The sequence below is a fragment of the Homo sapiens genome, chromosome 7 (assembly GCF_000001405.40).
Source record: "Homo sapiens chromosome 7, GRCh38.p14 Primary Assembly".
NCBI lineage: Eukaryota > Metazoa > Chordata > Mammalia > Primates > Hominidae > Homo > Homo sapiens.
In genome coordinates this window covers 113,739,906-113,758,328 of record NC_000007.14, presented here as the reverse complement: position 1 = coordinate 113,758,328, position 18,423 = coordinate 113,739,906, and the positions used below count along the sequence as shown (strand labels likewise).

The following is an 18,423-nucleotide window of genomic DNA, read 5'->3' as shown; positions in this document are numbered from 1 at the left end:
GATGCTGGCCACATAAAATTAGTTAAGGAGGATTCCCTCTTTTTCTATTGATTGGAATAGTTTCAGAAGGAATGGTACCAGCTCCTCCTTATACCTGTGATAGAATTCGGCTGTGAATCCGTATGGTCCTGGACTTTTTTGTGGTTGCTAGGCTATTAATTATTGCCTCAATTTCAGAGCCTCTTATTGGTCTATTCAGAGATTCAACTTCTTCCTGGTTTAGTCTTGGGTGGGTGTATGTGTCGAGGAATTTATCCATTTCTTCCAGATTTTCTAGTTGATTTGCATAGAGGTGTTTATAGTATTCTCTGATGGTAGTTTGTATTTCTGTGGGATCGGTGGTGATATCCCCTTTATCATTTTTTATTGCATCTGTTTGATTCTTCTCTCTTTTCTCATTTATTAGTCTTGCTAGTGGTCTATCAATTTTGTTGATCTTTTCAAAAAACCAATTCCTGGATTCATTGATTTTTTGAAGGGTTTTTTGTGTCTCTATCTCCTTCAGTTCTACTCTGATCTTAGTTATCTCTTACCTTCTGCTAGCTTTTGAATGTGTTTGCTCTTGTTTCTCTGGTTCTTTTAATTGTGATGTTAGGGTGTCAATTTTAGATCTTTCCTGCTTTCTCTTGTAGGCATTTAGCGCTAAAATTTCCCTCTACACACTGCTTTAAATGTGTCCCAGAGCTTCTGGTATGTTGTGTCTTTGTTCTCGTTGGTTTCAAAGAACATCTTTATTTCTGCCTTGATTTCGTTATGTACCCAGTAGTCATTCAGGAGCAGGTTGTTCAGTTTCCATGTAGTGGAGCAGTTTTGAGTGAGTTTCTTAATCCTGAGTTCTAGTTTGATTGCATTGTGGTCTGAGAGATAGTTTGTTAAAATTTCTGTTCTTTTACATTTGCTGAGGAGTGCTTTACTTCCAACTATGTGGTCAATTTTGGAATAGGTTTGGTGTGGTGTTGAAAAGAAAGTATATTCTGTCTATTTGGGGTGGAGAGTTCTGTAGATGTCTATTAGGTCCACTTGGTGCAGAGCTGAGTTCAATTTCTGGATATCCTTGTAAACTTTCTGTCTCGTTGATCTGTCTAATGTTGTCAGTGGGGTGTTAAAGTCTCCCATTATTATTGTATGGGAGTCTAAGTCTCTTTGTAGGTCTCTAAGGACTTGCTTTATGAATCTGGGCGCTCCTGTATTGGGTGCATATATATTTAGGACAGTTAGCTCTTCTTGTTGAATTGATCCCTTTACCATTATATAATGGCCTTCTTTGTCTCTTTTGATCTTTGTTGGTTTAAAGTCTGTTTCATCAGAGACTAGGATTGCAACCCCTGCCTTTTTTTGTTTTCCATTTGCTTGGTAGATCTTCCTCCATCCCTTTATTTTGAGCCTATGTGTGTCTCTGCACGTGAGATGGGTCTCCTGAATACAGCACACTGATGGTTCTTGACTCTTTATCCAATTTGCCAGTCTGTGTCTTTTAATTGGAGCATTTAGCCCATTTACATTTAAGGTTAATATTGTTATGTGTGAATTTGATCCTGTCATTATGATGTTAGCTGGTTATTTTGCTTGTTACTTGATGCAGTTTCTTCCTAGCCTCGATGGTCTTTACAATTTGGCATGTTTTTGCAGTGGCTGGTACTGGTTGTTCCTTTCCAGGTTTAGTGCTTTCTTCAGGAGCTCTTTTAGGGCAGGCCTGGTGGTGACAAAATCTCTCAGCATTTGCTTGTCTGTAAAGTATATTCTTAATAATCCTAGAAACAGAGGAAATTGTGGGGCAAGGAATAGTGACTCAGCAGCTCAAAGGGGAGGGACAAGAATTTCAACCAAGCTGTCAGGCTCCAAAGTCTACCTGTGTAACCAAATTTTGTGAAACCCATGGCTGATTTGTAAACAAAAAGTTTAACAAAGTGTATTTTCAGCTAACTGAGTATAAATGTGTCTTCGGATACAATCCCTTCACCATCTATCAGGCCAAGTTCAGCAAACATTGAATTAATCATTACCTTTCTCCTGATGCAGAAGCTGCCTTAGTGTGAATATTCATTGAACATGGGTAACATAAATAGTAAACAAAATACAGTTGTCATTGATGTTATTTATTCTTAATTGAGTTGACTAAAAACGCAGATGTCAATTCTGCATGTTGGGGGTGTTCAATTAAAATAGCATACAATGGCCAGGCACGGTGGTTCACGTCTGTAATCCCAGGCCTTTGGGAGGCCAAGGCGGGCGGGTCATGAGGTCAGGAGATCGAGACCATCCTGGCTAACACGGTGAAACTCCATCTCTACTAGAAATACAATAAATTAGCCGGGCGTGGTTGCAGGTGCCTGTAGTCCCAGCTACTCGGGAGGCTGAGGCAGGAGAATGGCGTGAACCCGGGAGGTGGAGCTTGCAGTAAGTGGAAATCCCGCCACTGCACTGTAGGCTGGGCAACAGAGCAAGACTCCGTCTCAAAAAAAATAAAATAAAATAAAATAAAAATAAACAAATAAATAGCATAAAATGACTCTGAGACCCTTGAAAACAATTTTCAGAGTTTCTTAGCCCCTGTTAATATTCTACTTAGTCCGCAAAATTGCCTTGACTTTTTTTTGACGTTTTCAACTACTTTTATTAGACTAAGAAAGGCTAATATGACTGTGGCTTGCATACCCAGAAGTCTGTACCACAAAAATGATTTCTAATGGGTAACAAATTATAATGAATTTTAACAGAAGGAGTTGACCTCATATAATGCAATCAGAGGGGCACATCATCTCTGTGATATTCTTTCCCCAAATCTTATAACCCCAAGCTAATCATGAGAAAACAGCAGACCAGCCCAAACTGAGTAAAATTCTACAAAATACTGGACCCTAAACTCTCTGAAAGTATCAAGGTCATGAAAGATATGGAAGGACGGATAAATTATCACAGATTACAGGAGACTAAGGAAATATCATGACTGAATAGAATGAGATAACCTGGAGTAGATCTGGGAACATAAAAAGGACATCAGTGGAAAAATATACAATATCTGAATAAAGTCTGTAGTTTAGTTAATGGTTTTATAATAGTGTATAGTCTATAATTTAGGTAATATTCATTTAATTGTTTTGATAAATGTGCATGGTTATGTGAGGTGGCAACAATAGGGGAAGCTGGATGAAGGTTTAGCAATACTATCTTTGTAACATTTCTGTAAATCTCATTATTTAAAAAGAAATGTTGAAATGGGTATATATATATACACATATATATATGTGTATATATATATCTCCCCACCATCCCTCTCCCACCAAAAGGAGAGGTTAAGGCAGTCTTTACATGAAGGAGCAAAATGACTTCTATGACTTGACTCAAACATAGTGGTAGGTATTAAAGTAATCCCTGTTACAGTGGTTAAGATGACCCTTCCCTTGTCATATGATCAAAAGTCAGCATTGGCTGCCTTATGTGTTTGGCTCAGACAATTCATTTGATGATCTGATTTATTGCCTAGCTTATTATGGAAATCATATAGGCATGGTCAGAGTGTACATGTCACTAGTACAGGGTTCTAATGATTGATTTAAGTCCGCACACATATAATTGTGTATGACTCAGTAAAGCAGGTTGCTCTGAGAAATAAACTTAGGGAATGCATTTTATGTGCTGTTCCTATTGGTGCTTCATTTGAATGACAATGATTTAATTATTTTGTTGTTGTTGTTCTTAGAGATCTAATAGTACTACTTTGGATCCTCCATAAAGTAGCTGTAAAATCAGATATATCCGTTTGTATGATTTACACATGGGTAATACCAAAATACATAACTATGTTTTTTCTTTTTTCAACAAGTCACCACTGAACTGCATACTTGCGCTAAATTACCTTAACTTCCTTCCACTCCCATCCCTGCCCTATCCATATCTATCTTCTTTCAAGAAATCATTTGGTAAGAATAAACTATTAATACAATCTTCATCTTTGATTTTGATTTTATTTTTTGTTTTCCTTATATGTATTTTCTTGTTCTAAAATAAATAAAAACATTGCCTAATCACTTAATAGCTAAAAAAAATACAATGTTAAACATTTATTGTAAGGGAATGATGATTCAATTTCCAAATCCCATCAACTTCTCATTTCTGAAATGTTGTCGCTGAGAGGCTGTTTCCTGCATTATTGTTAAGTGACCCTTTTTGCTTCGTGCTTAGTCACAATTTACATCTCTTTTCTGAAAATGGCATAAAATAATGTGGAAATGCTTTAATGTATTTCCAAGAAAAATATTTTCTTTTAATGACTCCTAATGAACCCCTGTTTTATGCAGGGTGTGAAAAGTTGCCAAGATGTGTAAAACAATTAGGATGACAAAAAGCATGAGTTTTAAAAAGCCATTTCACTTGTGTAGTGTGTGTGAAAATCCAGAATAATTCCTAAGGGAAAAATTAATTTTAATAAGCTTTTCTTCTTCCTTAAAGACTGTTTAAATCAAAGGCACAGAGTCCTATGTATTAATATATCAGGAATAATGTGAGAGTTTGATCCTGCAGAAAAAAATTCTATTTCATCATCAACCTGTTACTCTATACTTGAACTATGGGACAAATTTTTTTTATTAAAGTAACTATGTGTTTTGCCTCCTAGAAGCACAATATCAGGTACAAAGCTAAAAAGGTGAAATCTTAATCTTTTTTGGTGTGAATTTATTTATTAGAGAACATTGTTTCTGCTATAAGCCTAATGATAGTTAAAATCTATTCTTTGGAAATTTTACCTTCATTGATTAAGGGATGGTCACATTTTAAAAGGATTTTGATTTTAAGCCTTTAAATATAAATAAAATATCCTGTACCAACTTAATGACCCAATTCCAGGTAAATGTTATTGATTTAAAAAGTTAAAAATATTTCAGAAGGTGTAATACATTAATTTTTCAGGAAATGGTTATTTGTGAATCCAATCATAGCCAAGAGGAAATTTTCATGATTTTAAATAGTTAAATGCCAAGGATATAATACAGCATCTAAGGTGGAAGGGTCTGCATGAAGATTTATAGAATACTTGTTTTTACTGGATACATCATTTCTAACAGGCTTCCTCTTTATCTTTTCTTCTACATTTAACTTCCAAAAGTACCAAATGATGAATGCAATTTTCACAATGAATTGCTGAATGTGAAACATTTGAGGCAGAATAGAAGAGAGTGTTTCAATAATATTACAGTTATTGAAATCTGGTGCAGAATGGGAGAATAGACTTGTCATTAAGAATTTATGCTTTAATGTGGGGCTTAATACCTAAGTGATGGATTGATAGGTGCAGCAAACTACCATGGCACACGTTTACCTGTGTAACAAACCTGCATGTCTTGCACATGTATCCCGGAACTTAAAATATAATTAAAAAGAAAAAGAAAAGAATTTATGCTTTAGAATCAGACTTATGTGGGTTATAATCCTGACTCAGCCATTTATTAATCGTGGACTTTTGCTAAATAACTTATCCTCACTTTCATCAACTCTAGATGTGGAATAATTATAAATAGTCCCTACTTCATTGGATCCTTTTGTGATTACATGATATACTTTGGCAGTTAGTTAAAACTGTGTCTTTATAGTGGCTATGAAATGGTTAAGTCTCAAGAGCTTAAGAGGCTGGATGATGGGGATTTTCGTGTTGTTATATAATGAGAAAAGCACCATAGCAGTCATGAAATGAGGAAATCTGGTCTCCTCTTGGGTCTCAAATAGAATGCTCTCATCCTACCAGAAGTCATACCATACAGTTCTTGCCAGTGTGGCAGGGCTCTGGAGTGAAAACAGGATAGTGTTACCCTCAGCAGCAGGTAGGGGTGGGGAGGTGTGTTGTGAGGAGGAAATGCCTGGAATGGGACATGAAGGGCTACTGAAACTCTCCTGATGTTCTGCTTCTTAATCCTGATGATGGTTACCTAAGTGTGCTCACATTGTGAAAATTCATTGAGCTGCACACTTATAATTGGTGCACTTTTCTGTGTGTATGCTACACTTCAGTAAAAAGTTTACGGTTTGTGCTCCACAACTATCCATTCTCCTTGCACGCTTTGCTCTTCCATTCTTGTCACACTTTATTTACCATCTATTTTCCCCACTAGAATAAACATTCTACATAATCTATAGAGATTTTTTTGTTTGTTATGTTCACTATTGTAGTTCCAGCACCTGAAAAAAAAATCTCTGGCATATAGTAGGAACCTAAAACATAGGTATAAATAAATTAATGAATAAATAAATAAATAAGAAAAACCACTGACTACAGGTTGAATGATGTTATAGAGAAAAAGAAAAAGATATAAAGCAGATATTCAAGGTAAGAGCATTGGTTTAACATTAATTGATGGAGAATTAAGAGATGTGTTTGCATAGCTACTTAACAATGTTTTGGTCTAAATATTATTTTTTTCATTCATTCACCTAAAAGAAGAAAGAGGATTTTATGTGATGGACAAATCCGTATACTGAATATAACTTAGTAAATGGAAAAACATTCTTTTAAGGACAAGTTTTGGCAGTTGTGGGTAGCACACTTGCTTAAGATTAACTTCTGCTCCTGCAAACAGTTGCCCAAATGCACATGACATGTTTCTGGTCAGTTTCAATTTCTAGCCAATTAGGTCACAGGGCAAGACCTAGATTGAAAAACAGAATATTAGGATCAAGTGTTTTTAGGCCTCTTTAATATAGCTGAACCCCCTTGCTTAATGAAAGTATTTAAACATTTTAATCACTTATCATCAAGCCTAAAATTTCCAAATTGTTTTGGTGTTTAAATATTGAAAATTCTTATGCATGTGACCTGATAAATCATGGATCTATGGGCAATCACAAGAGAGGAGAAAGCATGGAAAAATGGAGATTAAATATGGGATGTGTCAAGATAATGAGAGCATAATGGTCAAATATGAACAGAGAGGACACATAAGAAAATGAATATCCACTTAATAAAGTGAACATGATGAATTTCTTTACTTTGGCTTGTTTTCTTTTTGAGAAATTACTTTATCAAAAAACTTCCTTAGTAATTAACATTAATAATTACATATTATATAATATTCAAGACAAATCCACTGAAAATATAAATGAAAATGTTTTATTAATAAATTTGAAAATATAAAGAATATCATTATAATATAGTCCTTTATTATATTCTAAAGTAGCCAAAAAGTAACATTTAGAAGTACCTCCTAGAAGGCAGAGACTATACTAATTGCCTGCATGCACTTATTATTTTATAATTTTATAGCTGTTATTTTATATATCAGTGTTCACCCTTACTGCAACACTATCTGGTAAATTTTATGATATCTATCTGAGAGGAGGAAAGGGGACTCTTGGAGAGTTAATGACCACCCATGGTCACAAAGACTGGAAGTGGCACAAGTAAGATCAATCTGAGACAGATGGTCTGTAATCTTAACTTCCCTTACAATACTGTTCTGAAAGAGAAATCATATACATCAATTCAAAACAATATTACAGAGCTTCAATGTGACCTGGCTCAAAACTTTTTCTTGCATTAAACACACAAGGAAAACACAAGAGCACTTTTAACTAAAAGTGAAGAATTTGAAGTGATGGAGAAAATTAAAAACAAATAACTATATGTATACTCTTATGCTCATAAATTTAAATTGCAATATAATACATGATTTTTGAAAAAAATATGTTATATAAATTATCCAAATTTAATAAAACAGACTTCTGGTTTCCACCAATGCATGCAAGGAGCTTAAGTTCCCACCCTGTCCTAACAACAGTAAAAAGCTGAACAGATTGAGAAATCAACACTCCTCTTGGATCTGTAAGAGAGGTAACTACACAGGGCAAACTACTGCCTACAAGATTGGAGAGACAGACAGGCCAGTATAGGGAGTCATGGCTTCCGGTTGCAGATCCTCATGAGTGGAAACCAGCAGGAACCAGTGCTGTGGTAGGAATATCTGAATTGGAATTGACAAATTGCTGGAGGCTTAGCGTGGAAAAGTCTGAGAATTAAAAACTGCGCTGGACCCAGCCACAGAGGAGCCCCTACAATTTTGTGAGTTTTATCTCAACCAGGAGATCAATCAGGTTCTCATAGGAAAATATTGGAGAAACATCCCCTCATGCTTTAAGCAAGAAGAGGATCTATTTTGAAACACACCAGAGCACTCTGTTGTCTTTTTCCTTTTCGTTTCTTTTTTCTTTTCTTTTCCTTCCTTTCTTAGTTTGTTTCTTTTTTTTTTTTTTTTCCAAGGCCTACCCTCAGGAGAAACTAGTTAACCAGGGCTAATCTGCTGGTATATTATCAGATCCTAACTGATCTGGGGAAAGAAAAATACCCAACGTCAACACATTGTATTCTTTCTGTTTCACCTAAGAGGTTAGAGAAAAATTGAAAAACACTTGTGATTTTCACAGTTCAGAGGCACAAGCTCACTAAAGACTGAGACGCAATCACAGAACTATAGGTATTCCCCCCTGCCCCACCGTGCCTCCACATTACTAAAGACCTATTTACAGCAGTTCCTTTTATCTGGTACATCATGTACAACTAAAAGGAAAAAATACAAGACATACTAAAGGACAAAAAACACAGACTTTTTGTGAGACAGAGCAAGCATGAGAACCATATGTGGCAGGGATGTTGAAATTTTCTAACCAGGAATTTAAAATAACTGTGATTAATATGCTAGGGTTCTAATGGATAAAGTAGACAGCAGGCAAAAACAGATGGGCAATGTAAGGAGAAGAAATTCTAAGAAAGCACCAAGAAGAAATTCTAGAGATCAAAATCATGTAACAGAAATGAAGAATGCCTTTGATGGGCTTATTAGTAGCATGATTGCACAGAGTTGAGGAAAGACTCTCTGAACTTGGGGATGTATCGATAACAACCTTCAAAACTGAAAAGGCAAGAGAACACAGACTGAAAAAGCCAGAATAGAATAGCCAAGGGCTGTAGGGCAACTGTAAAAGCAATAATATATACATAATAGGAATTAGCAGCAGGATAAGAAAGAGAGACAGGAACAGAAGAAATATTTGAAGTAATACTGACTGAAAAATTCTCCAAATTAATGTCATACATGAAACCACAAATGTAGGAGGCTCAGAGAACACCAGGCAGGATAAATGCCAAAAAGACAACATCTAGACATACCATTTTCAAACTACACAAAATCAAAGATAAAGAAAATCCTGAAAAAAAAAAGCCAGAGGAAATAAACACTTTACCTATAGAGGAGCAAAGGTAGGTATTACATCGAACTTCTCAGAAACCATGCAAGCAAGAAAAAAGTAGAGTGAAATATTTAAAGCGTTGAGCAAAAAAACCCACCAACCTAGAATTTTGTACCCTGAAATTTTCTTTTTCTTTTTTTTTCTTCAAAATTTGCTTAACTTTTATTATTATTATTATTATTATTATTATTTTATTAAAGTTTTAGGGTACATGTGCACATTGTGCAGGTTAGTTACATATGTATACATATGCCATGCTGGTGCGCTGTACCCACCAACTCGTCATCTAGCATTAGGTATATCTCCCAATGCTATCCCTCCCCCCACGCCCCACCCCACAACTGTCCCCAGAGTGTGATATTCCCCTTCCTGTGTCCATGTGATTTCATTGTTCAATTCCCACCTATGACTGAGAATATATGGTGTTTGGTTTTTTGTTCTTGCGATAGTTTACTGAGAATGATGACTTCCAATTTCATCCATGTCCCTACAAAGGACGTGAACTCATCCTTTTTTATGGCTGCATAGTATTCCATGGTGTATATGTGCCACATTTTCTTAATCCAGTCTATCATTGTTGGACATTTGGGTTGGTTCCAAGTCTTCGGTATTGTGAATAATGCCGCAATAAACATACATGTGCATGTGTCTTTATAGCAGCATGATTTATAGTCCTTTGGGTACATTCCCAGTAATGGGATGGCTGGGTCAAATGGTACTTCCAGTTCTAGATCCCTGAGGAATGGCCACACTGATTTCCACAATGGTTGAACTAGTTTACAGTCCCACCAACAGTGTAAAAGTGTTCCTATTTCTCCACATCCTCTCCAGCACCTGTTGTTTCCTGACTTTTTAATGATTGCCGTTCTAACTGGTGTGAGATGGTATCTCATTGTGGTTTTGATTTGCATTTCTCTGATGGCCAGTGATGATGAACATTTTTTCATGTGTTTTTTGGCTGCATAAATGTCTTCTTTTGAGAAGTGTCTATTCATGTCCTTCGCCCACTTTTTGATGGGGTTGTTTGTTTTTTTCTTGTAAATTTGTTTGAGTTCAATGTAGATTCTGGATATTAGCCCTTTGTCAGATGAGTAGGTTGCGAAAATTTTCTCCCATTTTGTAGGTTGCCTGTTCACTCTGATGGTAGTTTCTTTTGCTGTGCAGAAGCTCTTTGGTTTAATTAGATCCCATTGGTCAATTTTGTCTTTTGTTGCCATTGCTTTTGGTGTTTTAGACATGAAGTCCTTGCCCATGCCTATGTCCTGAATGGTAAAGCCTAGGTTTTCTTCTAGGGTTTTTATGGTTTTAGGTCTAACGTTTAAGTCTTTAATCCATCTTCAATTGATTTTTGTATAAGGTGTAAGGAAGGGATCCAGTTTCAGCTTTCTACATATGGCTAGCCAGTTTTCCCAGCACCATTTATTAAACAGGGAATCCTTTCCCCGTTGCTTGTTTTTGTCAGGTTTGTCAAAGATCAGATAGTTTTAGATATGTGGCATTATTTCTCAGGGCTCTGTTCTGTTCCATTGGTCTGTATCTCTGTTTTGGTACCAGTACCATGCTGTTTTGGTTACTGTAGCCTTGTAGTATAGTTTGATGTCAGGTAGCATGATGCCTCCAGCTTTGTTCTTTTGGCTTAGGATTGACTTGGTGATGCGGGCTCTTTTTTGGTTCCATATGAACTTTAAAGTAGTTTTTTCCAATTCTGTGAAGAAAGACATTGGTAGCTTGATGGGGATGGCATTGAATCTGTAAATTACCTTGGGCAGTATGGCCATTTTCATGATATTGATTCTTCCTACCCATGAGCATGGAATGTTCTTCCATTTGTTTGTGTCCTCTTTTATTTCCTTGAGCAGTAGTTTGTAGTTCTCCTTGAAGAGGTCCTTCACATCCCTTTAAGTTGGATTCCTAAGTATTTTATTCTCTTTGAAGCAATTGTGAATGGGAGTTCACTCATGATTTGGCTCTCTGTTTGTCTGTTATTGGTGTGTAAGAATGCTTGTGATTTTTGTACATTGATTTTTTTATCCTGAGACTTTGCTGAAGTTGCTTATCAGCTTAAGGAGATTTTCGGCTGAGATGATGGGGTTTTCTAGATATACAATCATGTCATCTGCAAACAGGGACAATTTGACTTCCTCTTTTCCTAATTGAATACCCTTTATTTCCTTCTCCTGCCTAATTGCCCTGGCCAGAACTTCCAACACTATGTTGAATAGGAGTGGTGAGAGAGGGCATCCCTGTCTTGTGCCAGTTTTCAAAGGGAATGCTTCCAGGTTTTGCCCATTCAGTATGATATTGGCTGTGGGTTTGTCATAGATAGCTCTTATTATTTTGAGATACGTCCCATCAATACCTAATTTATTGAGAGTTTTTAGCATGAAGGGTTGTTGAATTTTGTCAAAGGCCTTTTCTGCATCTATTGAGATAATCATGTGGCTTTTGTCTGTGGCTCTGTTTATATGCTAGATTACATTTATTGATTTGCGTATATTGAACCAGCCTTGCATCCCAGGGATGAAGCCCACTTGATCATGGTGGATAAGCTTTTTGATGTGCTGTGGGATTCAGTTTGCCAGTATTTTATTGAGGATTTTTGCATCAATGTTCATCAAGGATATTGGTCTAAAATTCTCTTTTTTGGTTGTGTCTCTGCCTGGCTTTGGTATCAGAATGATGCTGGCCTCATAAAATGAGTTAGGGAGGATTCCCTCTTTTTCTATTGATTGGAATAGTTTCAGAAGGAATGGTACCAGTTCCTCCTTGTAACTCTGGTAGAATTTGGCTGTGAATCCATCTGGTTCTGGACTCTTTTTGGTTGGTAAGCTATTGATTATTGCCACAATTTCAGATCCTGTTATTGGTCTATTCAGAGATTCAACTTCTTCCTGGTTTAGTCTTGGGAGAGAGTGTACGTGTCGAGGAATTTATCCATTTCTTCTAGATTTTCTAGTTTATTTGTGTAGAGGTGTTTGTAGTATTCTCTGATGGTAGTTTGTATTTCTGTGGGATCGGTGGTGATATCCCCTTTATCATTTTTTATTGCGTCTATTTGATTCTTCTCTCTTTTTTTCTTTATTAGTCTTGCTAGCGGTCTATCAATTTTGTTGATCCTTTCAAAAAACCACCTCCTGGATTCATTAATTTTTTGAAGGGTTTTTTTGTGTCTCTATTTCCTTCAGTTCTGCTCTGATTTTAGTTATTTCTTGCCTTCTGCTAGCTTTTGAATGTGTTTGCTCTTGCTTTTCTAGTTCTTTTAATTGTGATGTTAGGGTGTCAATTTTGGATCTTTCCTGCTTTCTCTTGTTGGAATTTAGTGCTATAAATTTCCCTCTACACACTGCTTTGAATGCGTCCCAGAGATTCTGGTATGTGGGGTCTTTGTTCTCGTTGGCTTCAAAGAACATCTTTATTTCTGCCTTCATTTCATTATGTACCCAGTAGTCATTCAGGAGCAGGTTGTTCAGTTTCCATGTAGTTGAGCAGTTCTGAGTGAGATTCTTAATCCTGAGTTCTAGTTTGATGGCACTGTGGTCTGAGAGATAGTTTGTTATAATTTCTGCTCTTTTACATTTGCTGAGGAGAGCTTTACTTCCAAGTATGTGGTCAATTTTGGAATAAGTGTGGTGTGGTGCTGAAAAAAATGTATATTCTGTTGATTTGGGGTAGAGAGTTCTGTAGATGTCTATTAGGTCCGCTTGGTGCAGAGCTGAGTTCAATTCCTGGGTATCCTTGTTGACTTTCTGTCTCATTGATCTGTCTAATGTTGACAGTGGGGTGTTAAAGTCTCCCATTATTAATGTGTGGGAGTCTAAGTCTCTTTGTAGGTCACTCAGGACTTGCTTTATGTATCTGGGTGCTCCTGTATTGGGTGCATATATATTTAGGATAGTTAGCTCTTCTTGTTGAATTGATCCCTTTACCATTATGTAATGGCCTTCTTTGTCTCTTTTGATCTTTGTTGGTTTAAAGTCTGTTTTATCAGAGACTAGGATTGCAACCCCTGCCTTTTTTTGTTTTCCATTGGCTTGGTAGATCTTCCTCCATCCTTTTATTTTGAGCCTATGTGTGTCTCTGCATGTGAGATGGGTTTCCTGAATACAGCACACTGATGGGTCTTGACTCTTTATCCAATTTGCCAGTCTGTGTCTTTTAATTGGAGCAATTAGTCCATTTACATTTAAAGTTGATATTCTTATGTGTGAATTTGATCCTGTCATTATGATGTTAGCTGGTGATTTTGCTCGTTAGTTGATGCAGTTTCTTCCTAGTCTGGATGGTCTTTAAATTTTGGCATGATTTTGCACCGGCTGGTACCGGTTGTTCCTTTCCATGTTTAGCGCTTCCTTCAGGAGCTCTTGTACGGCAGGCCTGGTGGTGACAAAATCTCTCAGCATTTGCTTATCTGTAAAGTATTTTATTTCTCCTTTGCTTATGAAGCTTAGTTTGGCTGGATATGAAATTCTGGGTTGAAAATTCTTTTCTTTAAGAATGTTGAATATTGGCCCCCACTCTCTTCTGGCTTGTAGGGTTTCTGCCGAGAGATCCGCTGTTAGTCTGATGGGCTTCCCTTTGAGGGTAACCCGACCTTTCTCTCTGGCTGCCCTTAACATTTTTTCCTTCATTTCAACTTTGGTGAATCTGACAATTATGTGTCTTGGAGTTGCTCTTCTAGAGGAGTATCTTTGTGGCGTTCTCTGTATTTCCTGAATCTGAAGGTTGGCCTGCCTTGCTAGATTGGGGAAGTTCTCCTGGATAATATCCTGCAGAGTGTTTTCCAACTTGGTTCCATTCTCCCCATCACTTTCAGGTACACCAATCAGACGTAGATTTGGTCTTTTCACATAGTCCCATATTTCTTGGAGGCTTTGCTCATTTCTTTTTAATCTTTTTTCTCTAAACTTCCCTTCTCGTTTCATTTCATTCATTTCATCTTCCATCGCTGATACCCTTTCTTCCAGTTGATCGCATCGGCTCCTGAGGCTTCTGCATTCTTCACGTAGTTCTTGAGCCTTGGTTTTCAGCTCCATCAGCTCCTTTAAGCACTTCTCTGTATTGGTTATTCTAGTTATACATTCTTCTAAATTTTTTTCAAAGTTTTCAACTTCTTTGCCTTTGGTTTGAATGTCCTCCCATAGCTCAGAGTAATTTGATCCTCTGAAGCCTTCTTCTCTCAGCTCGTCAAAGTCATTCTCCATCCAGCTTTGTTCCATTGCTGTTGAGGAACTGCGTTCCTTTGGAGGAGGAGAGGCGCTCTGCTTTTTAGAGTTTCCAGTTTTTCTGTTCTGTTTTTTCCCCATCTTTGTGGTTTTATCTACTTTTGGTCTTTGATGATGGTGATGTAGAGAGGGGTTTTTGGTGTGGATGTCCTTTCTGTTTGTTAGTTTTCCTTGTAACAGACAGGACCCTCAGCTGCAGGTCTGTTGGAATACCCTGCCGTGTGAGGTGTCACTGTGCCCCTGCTGGGGGGTGCCTCCCAGTTAGGCTGCTAGGGGGTCAGGGGTCAGGGACCCACTTGAGGAGGCAGTCTGCCCGTTCTCAGATCTCCAGCTGTGTGGTGGGAGAACCACTGCTCTCTTCAAAGCTGTCAGACAGGGACATTTAAGTCTGCAGAGGTTACTGCTGTCTTTTTGTTTGTCTGTGCCCTGCCCCCAGAGGTGGAGCGCCTGCCTCTGTGAGCTGTGGTGGGCTCCGCCCAGTTGGAGCTTTCAGGCTGCTTTGTTTACCTAAGAAAGCCTGCGCAATGGCGGGCGCCCCTCCCCCAGCCTCGCTTCCGCCTTGCGGTTTGATCTCAGACTGCTGTGCTAGCAATCAGCGAGACTCCGTGGGCGTAGGACCCTCCGAGCCAGGTGCGGGATATAATCTCGTGGTTCGCCATTTTTCAAGCCCGTCAGAAAAGCGCAGTATTCGGGTGGGAGCGACCCGATTTTCCAGGTGCCGTCCGTCACCCCTTTCTTTGACTCGGAAAGGGAACTCCCTGACCCCTTGCGCTTCCCAAGTGAGGCAATGCCTCACCCTACTTCGGCTCGCGCACGGTGTGCGCACCCACTGATCTGCGCCCACTGTCTGGCACTCCCTAGTGAGGTGAACCCGGTACCTCAGATGGAAATGCAGAAATCACCATCTTCTGCGTCGCTCACGCTGGGAGCTGTAGACTGGAGCTTTTCCTATTCGGCCATCTTGGCTCCTTCTCCGAAATTTTATTTTTCAAAGTGACAGAGAAATGAAGACTTTCTCAGACAAACAAAAATTGAGGGATTTTGTTGCCAGTAGACATGTCGTATAAAATGGTTAAAGTTCTTCAGAGGGAAGGAAAGTGATATCGATAAAAAACTCAGATCTATATAAACAGAGAATGAACATTGGAAAAGGAATAAATGAAGGTAAAACAAAATATTTGATTTTTCTTATTCTTAATTGATCTGGCAGATAACAATTTTCTTGAAATAGTAACAATGTATGTGCTTATGTATGCCCATATATATGACTTGTGTGTGTGTGTATATGTGTGTGTGTGTGTGTGCTGCTTATGAATGCCTATATACAAGTCAAATAGATGGACAGCAAAGATATAAGGGATGGTAGGGAGGAATTAGAATTATTTTTTATTAACAGCTACTTACACTACCTATTAAGAGGTATAGTGATATATTTAATGTGAACATGGGTTAGCTGTAAATGTATTGCAAACTCTCGGGCAATCAGTAAAAAGATAAAGTATAACTGATAGATAAAAAGAAGAAAAAATGGAATCACAAAATGCTCAATTGAAACCTCAGGAAGCAGAAAAAGAGCAGAGGACCCAAACAGAAACAAAGAACAAGGGAAGCAAATAGAAAACAGTAAAAAATATGATACATATTAATCCAACTACATCAAGAATTGCTTTGAACATCAGTATTCTAAATGTGCCAGTTAAAAGACAGATTTTTCAGAGTGGACCAAAAAATATAACCCAAATGTATGTGTATTAGTCCATTTTCACACTGCTATAAAGAACTTCCCTGAGACTGAGTAATTTATAAAGGAAAGAGGTTTAATTGACTCACAGTTCCACATGGCTGGGAAGGCCTCAGGAAAATTACAGTCATGGTGGAAGGGGAAGCAGTTACCTTTTTTTTTATTATTATTATTATTATTATACTTTTAGGGTACATGTGCACAATGTGCAGGTTAGTTACATATGTGTACATGTGCCATGCTGGTGTGCTGCACCCATGAACTCGTCATTTAGCATTAGGTATATCTCCTAATGCTATCCCTACCCCCTACCCCCACCCCACAACAGTCCCCAGAGTGTGATGTTCCCCTTCCTGTGTCCATGTGTTCTCATTGTACAATTCCCACCTATGAGTGAGAACATGCGGTGTTTGGTTTTTTGTCCTTGCGATAGTTTACTGAGAATGATGATTTCCAATTTCATCCACGTCCCTAAAAAGGACATGAACTCATCATTTTTTATGGCTACATAGTATTCCATGGTGTATATGTGCCACATTTTCTTAATCCAGTCTATCATTGTTGGACATTTGGATTGGTTCCAAGTCTTTGCTATTGTGAATAGTGCCGCAATAAACATACGTGTGCATGTGTCTTTATAGCAGCATGATTTATAGTCTTTTGGGTATATACCCAGTAATGGGATGGCTGGGTCAAATGGTATTTCTAGTTCTAGATCCCTGAGGAATCACCACACTGACTTCCACAATGGTTGAACTAGTTTACAGTCCCACCAACAGTGTAAAAGGGTTCCTATTTCTCCACATCCTCTCCAGCACCTGTTGTTTCCTGACTTTTTAATGATTGCCATTCTAACTGGTGTGAGATGGTATCTCATTGTGGTTTTGATTTGCATTTCTCTGATGGCCAGTGATGGTGAGCATTTTTTCATGTGTTTTTTGGCTGCATAAATGTCTTCTTTTGAGAAGTGTTGTTCATGTCCTTCGCCCACTTTTTGATGGGGTTGTTTGTTTTTTTGTTGTAAATTTGTTTGAGTTCATTGTAGATTCTGGATATTAGCCCTTTGTCAGATGAGTAGGTTGCAAAAATTTTCTCCCATTTTGAGGGTTGCCTGTTCACTCTGATGGTAGTTTCTTTTGCTGTGCAGAAGCTCTTTAGTTTAATTAGATCCCATTTGTCAATTTTGTCTTTTGTTGCCATTGCTTTTGGTGTTTTAGACATGAAGTCCTTGCCCATGCCTATGTCCTGAATGGTAAAGCCTAGGTTTTCCTCTAGGGTTTTTATGGTTTTAGGTCTAACGTTTCAGTCTTTAATCCGTAAAGCTCTCCTCAGCAAATGTAAAAGAACAGAAATTATAACAAACTGTCTCTCAGACCACAGTGCAATCAAACTAGAACTCAGGATTAAGAAACTAACTCAAAACCACTCTACTACATGGAAACTGAACAACCTGCTCCTGAATGACTACTGGGTACATAACGAAATGAAGGCAGAAATAAAGATGTTCTTTGAAACCAACGAGAACAAACACACAACATACCAGAATCTCTGGGACACATTCAAAGCAGTGTGTAGAGGGAAATTTATAGCACTAAATGCCCACAAGAGAAAGCAGGAAAGATCCAAAATTGACACCCTAACATCACAGTTAAAAGAACTAGAAAAGCAAGAACAAACACATTCAAAAGCTACCAGAAGGCAAGAAATAACTAAAATCAGAGCAGAACTGAAGGAAATAGAGACACAAAAAAACCCTTCAAAAAATTAATGAATCCAGGAGGTGGTTTTTTGAAAGGATCAACAAAATTGATAGACTGCTAGCAAGATTAATAAAGAAAAAAAGAGAGAAGAATCAAATACATGCAATAAAAAATGATAAAGAGGATATCACCACCGATCCCACAGAAATAAACTACCATCAGAGAATACTACAAACACCTCTATGCAAATAAACTAGAAAATCTAGAAGAAATGGATAAATTCCTCGACACATACACTCTCCCAAGACTAAACCAGGAAGAAGTTGAATCTCTGAATAGACCAATAACAGGATCTGAAATTGTGGCAATAATCAATAGCTTAGCAACAAAAGGGGTCCAGGACCAGATGGATTCACAGCCGAATTCTACCAGAGTTACAAGGAGGAACTGGTACCATTCCTTCTGAAACTATTCCAATCAATAGAAAAAGAGGGAATCCTCCCTAACTCATTTTATGAGGCCAGCATCA

At 37.8% G+C, this 18,423-nt stretch overlaps 2 annotated features.

Annotated features, from left to right (window-relative positions):
• Positions 14,621-15,204: an enhancer, noted in NCBI's record as "NANOG-H3K27ac-H3K4me1 hESC enhancer chr7:113383180-113383763 (GRCh37/hg19 assembly coordinates)". NCBI's record gives its function as "activates a minimal SCP1, AML or CMV promoter by ChIP-STARR-seq in primed H9 embryonic stem cells {active_cell/tissue: H9 hESC(primed)}" and the evidence as "EXISTENCE:reporter gene assay evidence [ECO:0000049][PMID:30033119]".
• Positions 15,205-15,789: an enhancer, noted in NCBI's record as "H3K27ac-H3K4me1 hESC enhancer chr7:113382595-113383179 (GRCh37/hg19 assembly coordinates)". NCBI's record gives its function as "activates a minimal SCP1, AML or CMV promoter by ChIP-STARR-seq in primed H9 embryonic stem cells {active_cell/tissue: H9 hESC(primed)}" and the evidence as "EXISTENCE:reporter gene assay evidence [ECO:0000049][PMID:30033119]".